Source organism: Homo sapiens, chromosome 3 (genome assembly GCF_000001405.40).
Source record: "Homo sapiens chromosome 3, GRCh38.p14 Primary Assembly".
Classification (NCBI taxonomy): domain Eukaryota; kingdom Metazoa; phylum Chordata; class Mammalia; order Primates; family Hominidae; genus Homo; species Homo sapiens.
Window position 1 is genome coordinate 2,799,852 of NC_000003.12, and position 22,526 is coordinate 2,822,377.

The 22,526-nt window shown below is 38.8% G+C and overlaps 1 protein-coding gene and 1 long non-coding RNA gene across 38 annotated transcripts in view; one reads left to right on the top strand and one right to left on the bottom strand.

The window, feature by feature from the left end:
* The window catches only part of CNTN4 (contactin 4), a 959,094-nt gene that overhangs the window by 700,986 nt on the left and 235,582 nt on the right, over window positions 1-22,526 (top strand). For all 37 annotated transcript variants that reach the window (XM_017005783.2, NM_001350095.2, XM_047447536.1 and 34 more), the window contains one exon: window positions 19,635-19,730. In XM_017005783.2, the coding sequence (XP_016861272.1) occupies window positions 19,635-19,730 (96 nt within the window). The remainder of the gene's footprint in view (window positions 1-19,634; window positions 19,731-22,526) is intronic.
* Window positions 13,083-22,526, bottom strand: part of LOC105376926 (uncharacterized) — a 38,900-nt gene continuing 29,456 nt past the window's right edge. Inside the window, exon 3 of the long non-coding RNA XR_001740398.2 lies at window positions 13,083-13,139. This is a non-coding gene — a long non-coding RNA (uncharacterized LOC105376926). The remainder of the gene's footprint in view (window positions 13,140-22,526) is intronic.

The window sequence follows — 22,526 nt, forward strand, 5'->3', positions numbered from 1 at the left end:
ACAATCCATTTTTCCCAGCACCATTTACTGAATAGGGTATGCTTTCCCCAGTGTATATTTTTGTCAATTTTGTCAAACCTCAGTTGGCTGTAGGTATGTGGCTTTAATTCTGGGTTATCTATTCTAGTCTCTTGATCTATGTGTCTATTTTTATACCAGTTCCATGCTGTTTTGGCTACTGATAGCCTTGTAGTAGAATTCGAAGTTGGGTAATGTGATGCCATCTACTTTTTTTTTTTTTTTGCTTAAGATTGCTTTGGCTATTCAGGTTCCACAGGTTGCTTTATTGGTTCCACATTAATTTTAAGATTTAAAAAAAAATGAGAAATGACATCGGTATTTTGATAGGAATTGCATTGAATCTGTAGATTGCTTTGGATACCACAGTGCATATTTTTAATGCCTTTTCGTCATTGTGCATGTTGTTCTTTACCCTGACATTCGATTTATTTCTTCTTTCTTCTCTCAAAATCTTAATTTTTTTCGGGTCTAGACTGCATGTTATGTACTTTCTTATTATTTTTTATCCTGCAAGAAAATAATTTGCTTTCTCATTTGTAATCTCACAGCATTTTGTTTACATACCACTAAAGTTCTTATTATCTGTTTTGAATCTGGTAATTGTCCACATCTTCCTACAAGATGAGGAGTTCTTCAGGGGCAGGAGCTTTATCTTAATTCATCTTTGCAACTTTCATTTCTTAGTTCTCTGCCAGACATGTAATAAGCAATCATTCTGGTTGAAGAGAATCGAGTTGAATAACTACAAAACTGTAAGTCAAACCATGTCACTCCTCTGTTCAGAAACCTGCAGTGGCTTCCATATTGACTCAGACTAGGAACTAAAGATCTTATAGAGGTCCCCTCTCTGTCCCAATACCTCCCTGACTCCATGTCTTAACTTTTATCTTCCTTATTCATTCTGTTCCAGCCAAACTGGCTCTGTGATATTCCTCAAACATGTTCAGAATCCTGTCTTTAAGAGCCCTTTCTTCTACCTGAATGTTTTCCCGTAAACATTCATCTGGCTAAACCCCTTGCCACCTTCAGGTCTCTACTCAAACGCACCTACTTCCTGAAACTTACCCAGAGTCCATTTTTAAAAATTATAGCCTTCCTTCCTACTCCCAGCTCTCTCAATCCCTCTGATTCTACTCTGTTTTTCCCATTACCACTGCATGACCTTCTAACACACTATGTCATTTAACTTTTTATCATGGTATTATTTTCCTGCCTCACCTGATCAGATGTAAGTTCCACAAGGGCAGGAGTATTTGTCTGCTTTGTTCATTGTTGTGTTCCATGACCTTAAAGCAAGATCTGGACTCTGCTTTATGAACATATGTTAAGAGAACTGAATGAATGAATCTGGTTTTTATCCCATTTTCTAGTTCAGTGAATTTGTGATGTCTGTTTGTCACAGTATTTCCATATAGAACTTAGTAATATCAGGGTAGCTTTTGTTAGTTTTCATTATTGAAAAATTGTTCTCTGTACTTCAGCTCACTCAAGCTGTGAAAGCAGTGAAACATTGCATCAATTAAAATATTCCAATTAACACTAATCAAGAGGAGCAATAGTAATAACATAGCTGAACCAGGTTGTTGAATCTTTGTAGCCTCACACATCACTGTAGGCACAGTATGTCAATTAAATAAGATAATTTTTCCCTATTATGCATCTTGGTAAAATAATGAAGATATTCTTTGGAGAAAAATAAAGCATTATTAAAACATGGGTCCCTGTTTTAAAATAGCATGCTTCTGCTCTTCAATCCAGTATAGCATTGCTTGTATCATTGTCGTGATTAAGAATAAAATTTCATGGCATGTCTACTCTGTCAGACAGTGAGGTAGGTTTTGGGAGCCTAGGAAATATGAGATGTTGTTTTTGCCCTCAAGGAGATTGTAGTCTCCCCTGAAAGTGTTTTTTTATTCTGGTCCTAGATAATGTACTTATTAGAGGTTTAATTCTAAGCAAACCTCTTAACTTTTCTGAGTTTCAAATATTTTCTACAATTAAAGTTTATACTTAATGCCATCCATGTCTGCTTACTGAGATGTTTTCTTAATCAAATGAGTTATTAGTAAAAATGTTGGAGTTTTCTCTATTTGCTAAAAATAAGTACTATAAAAATGTAAGGAAACATATCATTATTGGTCTAGTTGCTGCTACTATTATTATTACAACTACTTCTAATTTTGTTCTTGCCATTATTATCATTTTAAATTATTATTGTTACCATCATTATCATCTTTTTCATAATCATTTTTATGCCTGAAGCATGGGCTAAGACACTATATTTACCAGTAACATGTATCCAGTGCCCACCAAGTGCCCATCCCTGAAATTTATCGATAACCCTCACATCAATCCTTTTGGAGTCTTTGTGGTCATTTGTGGACTTGTGAAGAGCAGCAAAATATTTAAGTCACCCAACACTTATTTTCCCAGCTGAGGTTGAACAAAGTGACACTCTGCCTTCTCGTTTGAGCTCTAGGTGTACAAACAAGTGAGCTTTTTGCTGTCTGTTTAGTGGCACGTTGTTTTGCCTTCTTTGCTTTTTTGTTGGTGATTTCACTGTTTAAAATAGCCCAAGGGAATAGCACCGAGGTGCTGTCTAGTGTTCATAAGCATAAGAAAATCGTGCCTTACAGAAAAAATACGTGTCAGATGAGCTTCTTTCAGACCACGAATTCAATGTCAATGAGTCAGCATTATGTATTAAATACCATGTCTTCAAACAGAAACAAGTAAAGCAAGGTTATGTATTGATTGGTTGATGAAAATGGTGTGACCAGAGACTCGCAGAAACCTAACCCTGTATTTCCCCTACGGTTTAGCAGTCACTAATTCAGTGCTTGGGGCAACTTTGCAGAGAACATAACTACAGCCAGTAATGTAAATTGACTGTAGACACCCGGCAGTATGGTGCTGAGGCTGAAAGCAATTGAGAACACAAATTGTCTTAAATGACTTGACTTAAATGAGAACACAAAACTTTAATACTTTTAGAAAAAAAAATGTAGGAGAATATCTTTATGACTTCAGGATAAAGACGAGTTTCTTAAGTAAGAAATTAAGAATGTTAGCCTTAAAGAAAAGACTGATGCATTCATAGGACTGTCGTTTATCAAAGAATACCAGAGAGTGAAAAAGACAGAGATATAGTAGGAAAAGATATTTGTAAAAATGTAACAAATAGAGGTTCCCAAGTGAATGAAGAACTCCAATGAGTCAGTAAGAAAAATAAAAATCCTTTATATAACTGGGTAAATGATATGAACTGGCATTTTCAGAATGATTAAATGTGAATGGCCCATAAATATATGAAAAACCAACTTTATTAATCATCAAAGAGATACAAATTAGAAATCATGAATTATCATTTCAGACACCAGATTGACATAAACTAAAATAGTAAGTATTGTTGAGGAACAACAGGAATTCTCATTTAGGGAGAAAAGATTGAAAATTGTCCCAGCCATTTTAGAAAACAGATTGTGTAAATATCTTGTGAACTTATAAATCTAAACTTGTATTTTCCACTCTTAAATATACAGGCTGTAGACCAAAGAAACTCTTGAAAATATGTGTAAGACACAGGCTTTTTATATCAGTTTAGTTTATAATAGCAAGTAAGTGGGAAAAGAACTATTGATGGACAGTGGAAAGAATATATTAACTATATTAACTGTGGTAAATTCTTTTTTTTTTTTTTTGTTTGAGACAGAGCCTCGCTCTGTCGCCCAGGCTGGAGTGCAGTGGCGTGATCTTGGCTCACTGCAACATCCGCCTCCTGGGTTCAAGCAATTCTCCTGCCTCAGCCTCTAGAGAAGCTGGGATTACTGGTGCCTGCCACCACGCCTGGCTAATTTTTTGTATTTTTCAGTAGAGACGAGTTTCACCATGTTGGCCAGGTTGGTCTCGAACTCCTGACCTCAGGTGATCCACCTGCCTTGGCCTCCCAAAGTACTGGGATTACAGGTGAGAGCCACCAAGCCCGGCAGTAATTCTTATGAAGAACCGTTACCACACAATTAAAATGAATGAACCACAGCTACACCCATTGAGACTGAGTCTCAAAGGAATCATGTTGAGTAAAAATAGCAAGTGTTAGAGGAATGCATAGTACAATTCCATTTTTATGAAGTAGAAATTAATTTCAAGGCTGAACAATACATTATTTAGGGATATATATATATATATGTCTGCACACACACACACACACACACACACACACACACGTATGATAAAAACCATAAAGAAAAAACACATGACAAACAAAATAATCAGCAGTGGGGGTATAGTCAGGGAGGAATACACAGAAGCTTCAACATTACTGGCAATGCTTCATTTGTTACAGTGGGTGTTAGGATCACAGGTGTGCACTTTAGTATTCTTGTAACTCTGCATAAACATTATTTGTTTTCTTTGTTTGCCTAATATGTCACACAATAAAAAATTTAAAATGAGGAAAAACCATCAGGTTATCTGGAGCAAGACAGCCTGGGTTAGTATTCTGGCATTATCGTTTACTAACAATGTGTACTTGAGCAAATTATTTTGCTGTTCAGCAATCAGTTTCCTTATCTATAAAAAGGAATATAAAATTACCCACTTTAGGGATTGTTCAGAGGATTCGATTTTATGTATTGTTAATATGTGAAAAACACTTAGGATAATGCCTAGCACATAGGAAGAACTCAATAAATCTTAGCTCTAAATACTACTATTCAACCTACAAGTGGCTGAATTAGCTAACATACAACTAAGCAAGGAAGGTGTGAGCATTGCTCTTCTATCACTTGAGGACCAGGATACCTCATCTGAGATCTGGAATATCTTCACTAGCTCACCCAACCACACCCACATATTTTGAGCACTTTTTTTTTGAGACAAGGTCTCTCTGTGTTACCCAGGCTGGTTGCAAACTCCTGGGCTCAAGCAATCTTCCTGCCTCAGCCTCCAAAGTAGCTGGAATTATAGGCACACAACACCATGCCCGGCTATTTTAGGGACACTGAAAAGTGTCTTTATCGGCCAGGCGTGGTGGCTCACGCCTGTAATCCCAACACTTTGGGAGGCTGAGGCGGGCGGATCACCTGAGGTCAGGAGTTCAAGACCAGCCTGGCCAACAAGGTGAAATCCCATCTCTACTAAAAATACAAAAAAATTTGCCGGGCATGGTGGCAGGAGCTTGTAATCCCAGCTACTTGGGAGGCTGAGGCACGAGAATCGCTTGAACCTGGGAGGCGGAGGTTGCAGTGAGCCGAGACCGCACCATCGCACTCCAGCCTGTGCAACAAGAACAAAACTCTGTCTTAAAAAAAAAAAGTATCAGTTGCTGCACTGTGTAGCATCCTGATCACTGTTGCTTCATCTACAATCTTTTAAGAAGCCTGTGGCAATTCAAGTGCCACATGAGCTTTGTAGCTGTAAAGTTTCTTGTGATAGAAGAGCAATTGGAGTTGTGCTAGAATTCAGTTGCTGAAAACTGCACTAGGAAAGTTGCAAGGCAAAGACAAACCCAAAGAAATCAGAATAGAAAATGATCTCAGGAGCAATGTTGTGACGATGGAAAGATGACAGGCCAGTGCTCTGACATGGAAAATGAGAATGTAGCTGGATATTAGCTTGGCTCATATTTTTGAAACCCAGAGCATGAGTAGTCTCAATATTGATAGCCTGGGTTTGAGTAACTCTCTTAAACTCACTTGATGCCAAAGCTCTCATGAGAATCCAGTTGTGCCTTGTGGTGAGGTGAGGCTGTACCTTGGCACTGTCTGTGCACACTGACCTGCATTGAAAACAATGGGGGCAGTGAGCAGGGCCGAGGTGGAGATTGAGAGGAACCAGGTCGTGGATGCCAAAGGGGGAGAAATTGGCCAGGTTTTTATCCCGGAAGCTAAACTGAAAACTCAAGTCCCTTGATCCTCATTGTTCTGGGTCCACAGTCTGTGCAGATGGAATGTTGATTGGGTGATCACCGCCAGCAAAAAGTACAGACTGTTTTTTCTACTCTCATAACACTTTTTGTTTTGTTTTGTTTTTGTTTTTGTTTTTCTGAGACAGAGTCTCGCTCTGTCGCCCAGGCTGGAGTGCAGTGGTGAGATGTCGGCTCACTGCAAGCTCCATCTCCCGGGTTCACGCCATTCTCCTGCCTCAGCCTCCCGAGTAGCTGGGACTACAGGTGCCCACCAGCAGGCCTGGCTAATTTTTTGTATTTTCAGAGAGACGGGGGTCTCACCTTGTTAGCCAGGATGGTGTCGATCTCCTGACCTCGGGATCCGCCTGCCTCGGCCTCCCAAAGTGCTGGGATTACAGGCGTGAGCCACCGCGCCCAGCCTCTCATAGCACTTTCTTATACTCTACAGCATTTACTCTAAACACTTTTACAGCAATGCTCTACATACTTTCTTTACACCTTACAGTAGAGCCACTGATGTGCGTATCATATCTGGATTGTAAACGTCTTGAGATCAGGGACCATGTTGGATTCATCTTCACATTCCTCACAACATCTTCCACACATGGCACCACAAGTAATATTGACGAAGGGAGGGCTGTCAGGCCGCACAAAGGATGGTAAGGTCTTCCTAACTGAAATCCTCTGGCTTCCTAGGATTTCAGAGGCAGAAAACAGTAACTATCCATCGCTGACACAGATGATCACCATGCTAGTTTGTTCATTGTCTTCTCTTATCAAATCAGTGTGGATTTCATATGTCTCCTCAGTTGTTTCTCCCACTTCTTCAGCAGCTTAGAAGTTTTGTTTTGCTGGGGAGCTGTTTTTAACTTTTAGATATAAGGTGAAAATGCTTATTTATTAGTTTCCTCAGGTGTTACATGAACTAAGATGACTTCCACATCAGTTATAAATAAGAAAGTACCAAACTAAATCAGGACTGCTGTGTCACTTGGCACTACTTCACGTCCTTCTTGGCAGCCTCGATGGGGGACGAGAGCTGAGTTGGCAAAGGGGGGAGTGATTTATCCTCCCACACTTAGAAGTAGGATGGAAAGCAGAAAGGTTCTACTTTTATATTACTTCTTCTTTTCAAATTTTCATATTAACATCCCCTATCCGGTTTCTCTAGCTTATTTTTCTGTAGTGGGCATCAACGACACTATGTGTGATTTGTTTATTTTATTTGTCATCTCTTACCCACATTAAGCTCTTTGAGAAGAGAGATTTTTGCTTTGTTTTGTTTTGTCAGTGATATATCCCCAGTGTCTAAAACAGTGGCTGGCATCATGATAGGTGCCGATAGTAGGCATACTGTAGGTACTGAATGAATCTTCGTTGGTTCTTAACTACCACAAAGTGCACTTAAGAGCAAGGGGCATGAGCAATGGCATTTCTAAGAACTGACAGGTTTAACACACGGCAGCCTTATCTCTGATTCTTCTTTGTGAAAATGAGAACAGGGAAACAGCACCCATTGCAAAATCTAAATCGATGATGAATGAACACGTAGCTTGCGTGTATATTTGACGATGGTTTTATTTTCAAAACTGTAATTAAATGAGATAAAAATATATGGTTGAAGTTGCCGAAGCAACTTAAATTCAACATAAATAACAGCTGCTCCTCATCTGGGAATTTCATTTATATACAGAACTTTTTTTTTTTTGCCCTTAAAAATTTTTAACTGGTATACAGCTAATTCAGCATCCAGTATCCCAAGATACACTTTATACTCAAAGAAGATGGAAAAGAGAAGAGAAACAGCCCTCGTTGAGCCAGTGATGAAACAAAGCTGTTACTCCCCATACCTTTGATTTCCCTAAAATAGCTATGATGCAAAGCATGTCCAGTTTCTTAGGAGCAATGAGTCTAAGCATGACTGGCATTTTTTAATGAGTCCAGCAATCCCTACTTTAATAGTTCAAAATCCTGAAACTGAGTACAGAGTGAAGAGTCTTCTATTAGCTTTGAAAGCAAAATTTTTCTGCAGAGCATGGATGCCAGGAAGTACTGATAACATCTGCCTCTCCTTGTAAAGTAAGGATCAGTGCAGTTTCCTCCCAAGCTTCTTGGAGGAAAAAAATACCTACTCTTTGGATAGAATTAAGAGAAGGTATAATTACTTGAACATCGATCTAGTTTCATTTGCGAGTAGGAAGTGAGAAACTGCGCCTCTTTCCTGAGACATCGTATCCACTACCACTAAGTGCTAGGCAAATTTGGTAGTGAGTTCACTGCCTCGGTTTATATTCCTGAAAGGCTAATAAAAGAAAAGAAATTGAATGAAAAAGTTTGAGATGAAGAGATTTCTTTCACTTTGAAGCAGGGTTTTTCATGACCAATTGTATGGCTCGTAGATTTGTAGTCTCTGGGGTTTGATCATGAACTGTGGTCCTTATGTCTCCATTTAGTAATATGTTTCCAAGGCTTTTCTGTAGATTACTGACTTTATCATGGCCTCTTGATGCATAACTTTTCAGCATTTTCTTCAGAGAATATTCATTCTGGTGTTACTTGAATGTATCTGATTTGCCTTCTAAGGTGCCTATTTATTAAGAAGATTGGTACAATGAATTACAACCTGCTAATTTTAATTTTCATTGGGGAGAAAAAAAGGCTATAAAGTAAAATTCAAAATGAAGAATCATATTTCTTTCTGTCAAAGCTATAATGAGCATAAGTCTATCAGTTATAAAATTATCACACTAGATGAAGAAAAGATAATTGTATGATATATCACTGACTGGCTGATAACAGCCCTAATCACAAATAATAGGCCCATGCAATTTGCAAGGAGTTGTTTCATGTTTTCATCATCTCTGGCATTCCCTGGGGCAGGGGTGAGTGGGCGAGTGGGTGGGAGAGTATTTATTTTGCAAAGCAATAACTCCAGTTCATATGTTGATTACATTCCAATTTTAATTTATCTCTTAGCTTTCCACTTAAGGATGGGGATGCGGGAAAGTAGGTGGCTCCATGCCCTTGATTGGACACCTTTTCTTGAAGTTATTCTCCAAAGCTTCCCTGGCTATTGAGCATACAAAGGTCCTTTGTAGCCAAGATGCTGGAAAGCAGTGTGTCATGAGGACAAATACAAGAAAGTTCACCCTAGTCCAACAGGTCTCACCAACCACCACAGCCTGTGAAACAGGAAGAACAGCAGTGCTCAACAAGTACTAATTAAGTATCTACTATGTATCAGACACTGTTTTGGGCATTGGCTATAGCCTCATAAAAACTGGCAAGATTCCTGCCCCACAGTGAGCTTTTATTTGGGGAGGCAATGGAGACAGTAAAAAAGAAAGTACACAAATGAGAACCGTAGTTGCAGATGGCGGCGGTGGTGATTTCTGGGAAGGATGTAGTAAAGAGGGGATGTGACAGAGAGTAACTGGAGTCAGGTCACGGTTGACTTTACTTAAGCCCTCAGGTAATGCTGCTCTGAAGAAGGGTCATTTGAGTTGGTTCCTAAAGGCTAAACATGATAAGCCAAAGAATGGGGAAAGAGCACTCCAAACAAGGGGAACAGCAAGGACATGGGTCCTGAGACTGGGTTAGCTGCAAGGTGTTTGAAGAACAGAAAGCAAAATGTGGCCATTACGGTATAACTAAGTAAGGAGGGAAGTGGCAGGGAGCAAAGCTGGGGACGTAGGCAGGGGCTGGATCCTGAAGGGCCTTTGCAGAGCACAGTGAAGGGTCCATATTTTATTCTGAAATTGACCAGGCCAAATGCCTTCTGAAACCTTTGTTTCTCTTTGTGTTGTGTAAGTATGAAACCAAAGATAAAGAATGCAGCTGCCTAACCATTAACACTCCTGAGTCAGGATGATATGAGAAAAGAGATGAGCTCCCGTAGAGAAAAATGCTGGTAATAATAGCTTGCATGTTAGGGCACCCGTCTCCGAAGGAGAACAACATTATTAACGGTGCCATATCTCACTAATTGTAGTAACCTCATGAGTTAGATAGGTGTACTTTTTTGTGGAACACACAGGGAAACTCAGACATTTTAAATTAAGTTGTTCTTTGGCCTCTTAAATAGCACAAAGGTCTAGATAAAATAGAGTATGTCAAAGAAATGAGGAAAAGGAAAGAACTAAAATGAGAAATAAAAATAGCCATCAGGAACGCTGTAAGCTCCCAGAGAAAAGGGCAGCCAAGCAACGTTTATTTTCTGTAAAGTCAAGAAAATAATAGTTGAGGGGTGAAAAACTGTGAGAGTCTCAGACAGTCAAACAGACCATCAAAAAGTATGGTTTCATCCCTGTTATTTAATTTGATATAGAATAGAAGTTATATATAGGGACTTCTGGGTCGGGAAAATCCGGATTCTAATCTAAGCTCTTGGATGTTTATTTTTCTTTCTATTAAATGAGAATAGTAATAGAACCCACCTCAAAGAGTCGTGGTGAAGACCGAATGAATAAATACATAGAAATTGAGAAATTGTGTCATTTAGCTAAGCTGGATGGAACTGGCCTTAGCATTCTTCCAAATAGATAATATTTATAAAGTGGTTAAATTGCCAAAGTTAAGAAGCCTTCTTAACATGTAATATTGATTATGCTATTTTTAATTCTTGCCTAGGTTTTGTTCCTGGAAACAAAGAGTGATATGTGATCTAGTAATGTGGTGCAAGAAGAGAAAGAGGAGAATAACCTCCAATTTTGCTAAATAGAGGATTGCTGACCCTAGGCAAATTTGTCTTTGGCAGTCTCCACACACCACTTTCCTCATCCAGTTTTTTAAGTCATTATCCTTCTTGAACTTTCTCAGCGCTATTTTGCCTTCTCCACTATTTCATAGATTAAATTTTCCTTTGATTCTTCTTTGGTTATTCAAAACTCACATTTGAAGACTCCATACTGCTCTTACTTACTTGTTAAGTGAAAGCAACCTGATTGAATTAATTCACTCTTCACTGAAAGTGATTAATAGCAAGGTCATACTTTTGAAGAAGGTATTTATGGTTTAAAATGATATTTTTGTAATTCCAAAGTAATATCTAAATTGTAAGGTTTTATTTGGTATGACCGAAGAGGGTGACAAAAAACTCAGGCAGTTGGAGAGAGAACACTGTGAGGGCTGGAATCAGCACCTGGGACAGCTCTGAATAAGCTTTCCCTTTTACTCTGAAATAAGTGTATTAAGGATTTCCATAGTGATGTTCATGGCTGCAGAATTAGAGGCTCTGAAAAAAAAAAGAAAAAAAAAAAGATCAGAAGTCATTTCTGTGAATGAGTCATTTGTATCTCAAGGGTACATTGACTTAGGAATATTAGACCTAGCATAAGATTTTGGTCCCGGCCAGGTGCGGTGGCTCACACCTGTAATCCCAGCACTTTGGGAGGCCGAGGCAGGCGTATCACTTGAAGTCAGGAGTTCGAGACCAGCCTGGCCAATGTGGGAAACCTGTCTCTACTAAAAATACAAAAATTAGCTGGGCATGGTGGCAGGTGCCTGTAATCTCAGCTACTCTGGAGGCTGAGGCAGGAGAATCACTTAAACCCAAGAGGCAGAGGTTGCAGTGAGCTGAGATCACACCACTGCACTCCAGCCTGGGCGATAGAGCAAGACTCAGTGTCAAAAAAAAAAAAAAAGTTTTGGTCCTTTACTTTATTTTTATTTTATTATTTATTTATTTATTTATTTATTTGAGGCAGAGTCTCGCTCTGTCGCCCAGGCTAGAGTGCAGTGGCCTGATCTCAGCTCACTGCAAGCTCCACCTCCTGGGTTCACGCCATTCTCCTGCCTCAGCGTCCCGAGTAGCTGGGACTACATATGTGCCCGACCTCCTAGTCCCTTACTTTCGACTGCCAACAAACTGGGGTAATTAATGTCAGGTTTTTGTTTTTGTTTTTAGACGGAGTCTTGCTCTGTCACCCAGGCTGTAGTGCAGTGGCGCGATCTCGGCTCACTGCAACCTCCGCCTCCCAGGTTCAAGCAATTCTCCTGCCTCTCAGCCTCCAGAGCAGCTGGGACTACAGCACATGTCACCATACCCAGCTAATTTTTGTATTTTTAGTAGAGACAGGGTTTCCCCGTGTTGGCCAGGCTGGTCTCGAACTCCTGACCTCAAGCAATCTGCCTGCCTTGGCCTCCCAAAGTGCGGCGATTACAGGCATGAGCCACTGTGCCCAGCCAAAAATCACATATATTTACATCCTTTAAAAAAGGTAAGGCCGTTATCCTCAGCAAATTGACAGAAAACGAAATACCACATGTCCTCACTTACAAGTCGGAGCTAAGATGAGAACACGTGGACACATAAAGGGGAACACCACACACTGGGGCCTGTTAGAGAGTGGAGGGCGGGAGGAGGGAGAGGATCAGGAAAAATAGCTAATGGGTACTAGGCTTAATACCTGGGTGATGAAATAATCTGTACAACAAACCCCCATGACACAAGTTTACCTGTAACAAACCTGCACATGTACCCCTAAACTTAAAAGTTTTAAAAAGGTAGACAAATATCAATTTTACTGTTGTATAGAAACAATATTTTTAAGTAACACAAGCATTCTCAGACCAGAAGATTATAGGAAGAATTTCTCATGAAGAATTATCTGAATCCAGGGTATAGTGCGTATATCTTAAATATAAGTGTTATAAAGAATACAGTTCATGCAATATAAAGGATAAGATATCTGATTCACTTCAGCATCAATCTTGACTTGAAAGCATAATTAGGACTAGCAGAAGAGGATATATTTTAAGTCTTATCAGGTTTGTTTTTTTTGTTTTGTTTTGTTTTTTTGTTTTTTTGCCACAGTAGTGTTGACTTGGCCACTCTAATGTTACTTTATCCGGTGGAAGTTCTCCCAGTGAGTCACTTTCTGTAAACTTTCCTTTGGATGCTCAAAAGTCATACTGATAGTGCTAACATTTATAGACTACTGACTTTGGACCAGGCAGCATCTTAAGTGCTTTACATGCATGATCTTAATCTTCAGAAAGTCCTATGAGACAGGAATTATTGTCCTGACATTAGAAGTGAGAATTGAAGTTCAAGGAGATTAACTAACTCACCTACATCATACAGGTAGAAAGTAAGAGTGCTAAGTTTGTACTCAGGTCCTTCTGACTCCAAAACCAGGGTGTTAAACCATCAGGCAGTTCTTCCTCTTGCTATATACTCTCTTACAGGGAAGTCCAGTCTTCCTTCTTCCTAAATGGAAAGAATGTCAAAAATACGACTTTGAAACTCAGGTTTTGTAAATTTCGATTTATTTTCACTACAAGTCTCTTCAATCCAGGAAACCATAAAGTGTGCATCCACACACACACACAGGGAGCAAATGGCAGAGAGTCAAGACATAACTTTAAATTTGCTGCATGATAGTGAGTTTTTAAAGTTACTCTCCAAAAATACTTCTTTTTATAAATGGTGCAGTCATCATTATGGAGATCATATTCATAACAAATGTATCACTTGACCATTTTTCCAAGTTGATGTTCATCTCCTTACTGATTGCGTCTTTTAAAAGGAAGCAATAACAAAGGGAACTGGTGCTGACAATTTCTTGTTCTAAGGCCAACCTGGGAGAATTAATAGAATCCAGGTCTACCCAAGTCAGGAAAAAAGTGAATTGGTATTTTTTTACTTGCATTAAATAATACATGTATTACATGCATGGTTACTGTATCATTTTTCCTTTTTTTCTTTTCTCCCTTCTCTCTGTGGATTCTTAACAAACTATGATGTGTGATATTATCTCATTAACCTTTCCTGGCCATTTTAAAACTAAACTTTTTATACCTTCCTCTGAGTCATCCCACCCTGTGAATAGCTTCAGCTCTTCCTGTCCATATGTGTAATGGCTAGTCCATTAATTATGACCTAAATAAATTACTCTTTCTTATTTACTGTTATTACTTCTCAAAAGAGATCTTGGACCCTCTTGATTTTATATCCTCTAGACTATAATCAGGTATTTATGGTAAGATACTTCTTCCCCAGCTCTAAATATTTAAAAATTTCCCAGACAAAAAATACGTGGACATTTTCCCCTTGCTCTCTAATTTACTCCATGGCCTGAATTCCAAATGTTTTCCTATATTAAGACTTTTTATTATTGATAGCATATTGCAGCTTTAAGGCTTTTGTACACGTCCACTCCTCCAGGAATGTAACTGCTAAATCACTTCCTCTCTGGTCTCAATGAGGTAACACATTCCAAATACTATAGCATGTTTTCTAATCTCATTTTAAAATGAAATTCAGGTATTACATTCCATAGGAGAATAAAGGACAGCTGTTTTCACAAATATGATATGAAAACACATCTGCCACACAATTGTACAATCCTTAGCACATGGCTGTTGGAAAAAGTTATGTAAAATGCTGACAAATGAAATCAACACCAAAAAGTAGAGGTATTTATTTTTTAAAAATCTACACATCACATGTCAATGAACCACATATAAAGCTTGAAAGACAGGCTATTTTGAGAAACAATGGTGCACGGATGTTAATTCCTTGTTTTACATACACATTATTTATTCAATACTATCTTTGGTGACCAATTGCTAAACGGAATACAAGCCAAGTGTAATTGTTTAGCTACCTTCCTAACAAGGCAGCAATCCTGCTTCTTAATAGAGTTGTTTCTGTTTATTTTCTCCTTGTTCAACTTCACACTTTGCACCTAACATTTACAATCTCCATGTTGAGTGCCCAACCACAAAGAAAAGCAGAGGAATAGAAGATTTGAAACCAAAGTACTTATACCAACCCATCACACTATGTGTTGAAATGTGGATTTCTTTCCATATTCACTGAGTGTAAATGTTATTTAAATGAACGTTTTTGTGTCCTGGCATGGCAAGTAACTGATTTGAAAGCTCTTTTTCACTGACTTTACGAAATCAGTGAAGATGCCACAGATTATGGTGCTTCAGAGCAGTAACTTTGGAGAGAGACAAAACATGAGTTTGTATCTTCTGGCCACTTCCTAGGCACGTGAAGAAGGTGCTGCACCTCCGTGAGCTTCAGCTGTGTCACCTATAAATTGGGAGTTTAAAGTGTAATGGAATTCAATGAGATCAAATAAGAAAAGTACTTGGCCACATGGTATGACTGCAATATAGTCTGCAAGTCAATTCTATTGTTGCTATTAGTGTGATGGCCACAGTGACAGAGCATTATCCATAATGTATATTCCGTCTCATAATGCCTGCTGCTACTGATCATTACCCAAGTACCAAGGCTTTGGAGATAAAATGACTCTGGATCCTCATCTCTCACCTTATACAAAAAGCAACTGAAAATGGATTAAGGACTTAAACCTAAGACCTGAAACTATAAACATTCTAGTAGATGACATTGGAAAACCCTTCTGGACATTGGCTTAGGCAAGGATTTCATGACCAAGAGAACCCAAAAGCAAATGCAATAAAAGCAAAGATAAATAGCTGGGACCTAATTAAACTAAAGAGCTTTTGCATGGCAAAAGGAACAGTCAGCAGAGTGAACGGACAACCCACAGAGTGGAAGAAACTCTTCGTCATCTATACATCTGACAAAGGACTAATATCCAGACTCTACAACGAACTCAAACAAATCAATAAGAAAAAAATCAAACAGTCCCATCAAAAAAGTGGACTAAGGACATGAATAGACAGTTCTCAAAAGAGGATATGCAAATAGCCAAAAAACATAGGAAAAATGCTCAACATCACTAATGATCAGGGAAATGCATATCAAAACCACAATGTGATACCGCCTTACACCTGCAAGAATGGCCATAATCAAAAAACAGTAGATGTTGGTGTAGATGCAGTAAACAGGGAACACTTCTACACCACTGGTGGGAATGCAAACTAGTACAGCCACTATGGAAAACAGTGTGGATATTCCTTAAAGAACTAAAAGTAGAACTACCATTTGATCCAGCAATCTCACTACTGAGTATCTACCCAGAGGAAAAGAAGTCATTGTTTAAAAAAGATACTTGCACATGCATGTTTATAGTGGCACAATTCACAATAGCAAAATCGTGGAACCAACACAAGTGCCCATCAATCAATAAGTGGCTAAAGAAACTATGGCATATATATATATATATATGATGGAATACTATGTAGCCATAAAAAGGATGAATAAACAGCATTTGCAGTGACGTGGATGAGATTGGAGACTATTATTCTAAGTGAAGTAACTCAGGAATGGAAAACCAAATATCGTATGTTCTCACTGATATGTGGGAGCTAAGCTATGAGGACGCAAAGGCATAAAAATGATACAATGAGGCCGGATACAGTGGCTCACACCTGTAATCCCGGCACTTTGGGAGGCCAAGGCAGGCAGATCATGAGGTCAGGAGATCGAGACCATCCTGGCTAACACGGTGAAACCCCGTCTCTACTAAAAATACAAAAAATTAGCCGGGCGTGGTGGCGGGCGCCTGTAGTCCCAGCTACTCGGGAGGCTGAGGCAGGAGAATGGCGTGAACCCAGGAGGCAGAGCTTGCAATGAGCCGAGATCGTGGCACTGCACTCCAGCCTGGGCGACAGAGCGAGACTCCATCTCAAAAAAAATAAAAAAAATAAATAAATAAAATAAATAAAAAAAGAATGATACGATGGACTTTGGGGACTTAGGGGGAAGAGTGGGAAGTGGGGCAAGGGATAAAAGACTACAAATATAGTGCAGTGTATACTGCTTGGGTGATGGGTGCACCAAAATCTCACAAATGACCACTAAAGAACTTACTCATGGCTGGACACGGTGACTCATGCCTGTAATTCCAGCACTTTTGGAGGCTGAGGCGGGTGGATCATGAAGTCAAGAGATCGAGACTATCCTGGCCAACATGGTGAAACCCCGTCTCTACTAAAAATACAAAAATTAGCTGGGCGTGGTGGTGCATGCCTGTAGTCCCAGCTACTCAGGAGGCTGAGGCAGGAGAATCACTTGAACCTGGGAGGTGGAGCTTGCAGTGAGCCGTGATCACACCACTGCACTCCAGTCTGGCAACAGAGTGAGACTCTGTCTCCAAAAAAAAAAAAAAAAAAAAAAGAACTTACCCATGTAACCAAATACCACCTGTATCCCAATAACTGAAGGAAAAAAATTTAATAAATAAATAAAAATATATGTGGAAACATTGCTGGTAAAGGCTTAATCATGAGTGTACAAACTTTGACATAATACCCATTTACACACATAGCTCTTGACTTAGAAAAGTATCATGTTGTTAACTGTTAGGATCTGGATAGATATTCATACCTGAAAAGAACAATTTGAGGCATGTAATCTTTCCCTAAACATGTGCATAAGTATCATGTCCTTTGATTCACATCTACAGCTTGCTCTAGTGTGCGTTTGCTATTAGAAACCTTTCCTTAGTTGCAATGTTTGGGATATGCTTTGGCACTAAATCACAGCATTCGCAATGGACAGAAGAAACATAATGACTACATACTTGAAACAAAGAACATTCATTCTCGTTACATTTATGAGAAAATTAAGACCTGCCCATGGTATGTAGACCTGCCCATGGTCAACACAGCTAATAAGTGGCAGAGATGGTTTTCAAACTCAGATCTACCCAAATACAGTCTTTCCATTTGCTGTATAGGTAGGGTTTATCATCTGGAATCTATTTCAATTAATGACTAATAAACGTTTCTGATTATTTTCTCAAATACCAGATTAATGAGATACACTTCAAATGCCTAAAACTTGTAGAAGTGAATGAATTCATAAACTAAGAAGGAAAAAACATGAATACAGTTTTTTAAAGCTCAGGAAGGATAGTTAAAAATCATTGCCCATATTTCTCATTTTCTTTCTCATTTCTTAATACTATTTCTCTAATCAGAAACCATGATTGGTTTTACCTAGATGATACGTGATCTCTACTACCTATCAGCTCTTAATTTTTCATGCAACTCTGGAAATTGAATGGGATATCTGTGCACAAATGTAGATGACTTACTCTAAGAACCTATATGCAGAAGTGACAATTCAGACTGATTCAGTGTTATTTTTAGGGATAATGGTTTAAAATATTAACTCCATAACACAGTTTTTAAAATCCTGGTTTAATTCCTTTTGAAGGAATCTCAGACCATTTCCATAAAGACAAGAAAAATACCATGTTCTACCCTCACCTGGTGTCCATTGAATAAAAAGAAGTTTATTACATCAGAAATGTAATTCAAATCATAGCACTGATTTGTTTTGTGCAGAGTATGTGTGTGTCCTTCATGTTCACTTTTCACAGCCCAAACCTGGCAGTCTTTGGTTTGCTCTGATTAGGTGTTATGTGTCAGACCTGCCTGCTTGAGCCCCAACAGGACGGAAGCTGTGTTCTCACAATGCTTGCCTTCTGAGTTGGCAAAATCAGATGGTACTTAATGGAGTTTTTATGAATATATAAGTGATGAAGACAATAATGTACAAACTTAAAATGTCCCTAATTCCAGAAGAATCTGGTAATTAAGACATGTCTATATGTAACTTTTTAAATATCCTTAGCACTCCTTGAAACTAAGCCTGAGTGTAGAAACATTCCAATTTGTAACTGCAGCCTTCCCAATTGTTGTTAGGAGTACATGAGATAATCATCATAAAATACTTACCAAAATGGCCAGCATGGAGGAAATCATCCACAAATGTTACTCTGCTCTAGTGTGCACAGCCAGATGGTTTGCAACCCTGCACAACATACTTGAATTGGAAGTCCCCGAATCCAATAAAATGTTATTAAATCAAATGTAATAGACAACAAAAAACGAAATGGCACTTAACACACTCCTTATTGAGAGGATTTACATCTGGGAGGGTGGAAGAAAAAAACGTTTCTTGAACAATAATATGTCTCACTTTATTAGACATATTTCTTATATTAACTCATTTGTATTTGTAACTGCCTATTTACTTATACTGTGATCTTTGGGTTTATAAATGTCTTATCTCTCTAACCAGACTTGACCTTTTTGAGGTAATAAAACATTCTTCTAAAAAGAACCATGAACAGTACCTTCTAAATATTTCAAACTACACCACAAGAACTTTAAAACAATTGTGTGTCTGTATATATGTCTATTTATACATTTTATATAGAGTTGTGTTTGTATATAAAGAGAGACAGTCACACTCTGGGTATATATGGAGAGACAAGTATAATTATATATGATAGAATGGTTTGTGAAGTGAACAGAATTGTATCAGAAAACAAGAGTTTGCATTCTGATAATGATATTTAAATACAGAGAGGTCTTGGGCAGGTCACTTAACATCTTTAAACCTCAGTTTCTTCACCTAGACCTGCACTATCCAATGTGATGTCCTGGCATGATGGAAGTCTTCTGTGTCTGTGCTGGCCAAGGTGATAATCACTAAGTGCATGTGGCTACTGAGCACTTGAAATGTGACTAGTGTCTGAGGAACTGAATTATAAATTGTATTTAATTTTAATTATTTTAAATCTAAATAGGCACGTGTGGTAAGTAGATATTTTAGTGGACAGTATAACCATAAAATCAAGGAGGATGGGACAATGTCATATGAAAAGAAGCTCTCCTGAATTCCCCCGGTATGGGTGCTACCAACGCAGTTTTGAGCAGAATGATTCTCTTTTGAAATAGTGGTACTCTCCCTTGATATCTTAGGACTTTAAAGTTTAAATGCTTTTTCCCATATTTCTCCCAACAGATCTTGACAACTTTAAAACAAGAACAAGAAGCACTGTGTCTGTCCGTCGAGGTCAAGGAATGGTGCTACTGTGTGGCCCGCCACCCCATTCTGGAGGTACATATAAATGAACTGACATATGCATGCTTCACTCTCTGTTATTTTTCTTCCTCAATGTTCTCCCTCCTGACACCAGCTGAGTGCACAGTGTCATTTATAGAGATTCCCAAAGCCCCTCCATGTGGAGGAAAAACCACGGTGAATGCCTCCCATCATTAGGACAGGAAAATACCAGATTGTGCAAATTTTCCACCCCACTGCAGTGTACCTGGCACAAGAAGAAAGACACCTGAGTCGATCAAAATCATAATGCTGTTGCTTGGTAAAGCAGTGTAATTAAAACGACTCATACTTCTTACAACTTGATTGGGTTAAAAAAGATGGCCCTACTTCATTTCATCTCCTGGTTGGTCTGGGAACTGTCTGTGAACTGTGTCTACTCGCAATACTTCTGACACCAAATGTATGGGTTTTTTCCACACTAACAACCAAGTCTCCAATCTTCTGGACACCAACTGGCTGTCCAACGATTCAATTCCATTTTGACAGTAACTACCCCATTAACTACTCTGGGATGGTTAGTGTCAGAACTCATAGGATAAAGGCTCAGTCCCACAAGGCTGCCTCCACTTCAGATGCCACTTTCAAGTCCTTGACCTCACACACTTCTGACTAACTGGCTATAAAGTGGGACTCCCATAACTCCCTCCTTGGCTTCCATAATTTGCTAGAATGGTTCCCAGAACTCAGGGAAAACAGTTTACTTACATACCAGTTTATTATAAAAGATATTATAAAGGATACGTATGAACAGCCCGATAAACATATAGAGAGAGTGAGGTCTGAAGGGTTGTGAATGCAGGAGTTTCTAGACTTGTGGATCCTCCCCACATGTAGATGCATTCATTAACCCTGAAGCTCTCCAAACGCTGTCATTTAGGGTTTTTATGCAGGTTCCGTTGTGTAGGCATGATTGATCGAATCTATGGCCATTGTAATTGATGGCCATTTTCCAGCCCTTCTCCCATCCCCAAGAGTGGGGAATGGGGAGGCTGAAAGTTCCAACCCTTTAATTATTTGGTTGGTTCCTCTGACAACCAATCAAGGGGCCTCACCAAGAGTCACCTAATTAGCATAAACTCAAGTATGGTTGAAAAGGGCCTATTTATGAATAACAAAAGACATTCTTCTCAGCAATATCACTCAGGAAATTACAAGGGTTTTGGGATGCAGACCAAATATATATATTTCTTATTAATCACAGTATCACAGGATCAGACCAAGAACAAAAGTTCCTTGACCATAGAATCTACGATCACTTTGTGGAGACTCATAGCAACTAGATCAGTTAGGAATGCACTTGACTGCAACTAACTGAAAACCCAGCTCATAATGTTCTTTTATATTCTTTTTCTCACATGCAACATTTTCTCTTTCTTTTTTTTTTTTTTTTTTGAGACAGAGTCTCGCTTTGTCACCCAATCTGGAGTGTGGTGGTGCAATCTCGGCTCACTGCAACCTCTGCCTCCCAGGTTCAATCGATTCTCATGCCTCAGCCTTCCGAGTAGCTGGGATTACAGGCACCCACCACCGTGCCAATTTTTATATTTTTAGTAGAGATAGGATTTCACCATGTTGACCAGGCTGGTCTCAAACTCCTGACCTCAAGTGATCCACCCACCTTGGCCTCCCAAAGTGCTGGGATTACAGGCATGAGTCACTGCACCTGGCTGGCATGCAAGATTTTCAAAGATATACAATCTAAAGCTAGCACAGCTTCTAGAGGATGTCTTCCAGGACTCATGCCCTTCTCTGATTCTTCTCTGAAGTGCTTAGCATGTGGTATGGATGAGGCATGAAGTCTGCATTCCAAACCAGATCAAATGGGAAGAAGCAAAGACAAAAGGCAATGATTTGTTTTTGCTTGTTTTTGTCCATTTCAATTTACCTTTATTATCGTAAGTTTTCTTTGCCTGAGGACTTTGCCTCCATGTCATTGATCACCTCAGTGGCAAAGGAGGTTGAAAAATCAAATATTTTACGCAGATGTGTTATGCCCTGGAAAATATCATAATTTTACTAGTAAGGGAGAACATGGAGAGATGTGTAGGCAACTTGCAGTGTCGGCTAAAAGGAACTACGATGACTAAAAGGCAAATATAACTGCACATAAGGGATTCAGTAGTGTGGAGGTTTAATAAGTAGTAATATTTATTAGGATTCCACTAAGGTCTGTAATGACAAGATTGATAAACTCTACCCTTGGAAATCCAGGCTGAAGTTTAGTTCAATATCTGCTATTCTTGTTATTGCCTTAATTTTCAGTTTGACTTTCCACATGTTTAAAAGAACAAACTTTTAGATTTGGAATTTGAAAAACACTGTTTTATTTTTGTCCTCTGTTCAAAAGTTGTAATGTTTTCTTTCTCATCTAATTCTGAGCTAACATTTCCAGCAGAAAATAACAATTAGTAAAGGTGCTAAAAGGCATGTACTTCAAGCATCCTGAATACGAAGGAGAGGTGGGAGAGGTAGGTTCCCCTCTATGTCTGGATCAGGGACAAGGAATTGTTAGGATTTCTGGTTTTTGAAGACTGACAGAAAATCTAGGTTTGATTTCAGAGGTCTGTGTTTGGAAAATGGGATTATTCTTCAGGATTTCATTTTCCTTTCAAGTTAGTATCAGAAGCACTGAATTTGGACTCTGGGATATGAGTTTTGATCCTTGTTCTGTTTCAAATCATTATTTGATACTGGGAAAATATCTTCAAATTCTTTATGCCTCACTCTGCCTGTCTATAAAATGAAGAGATTAAAAGAAGTCTCTCAAATCCCTATTGATTCTATCAACAC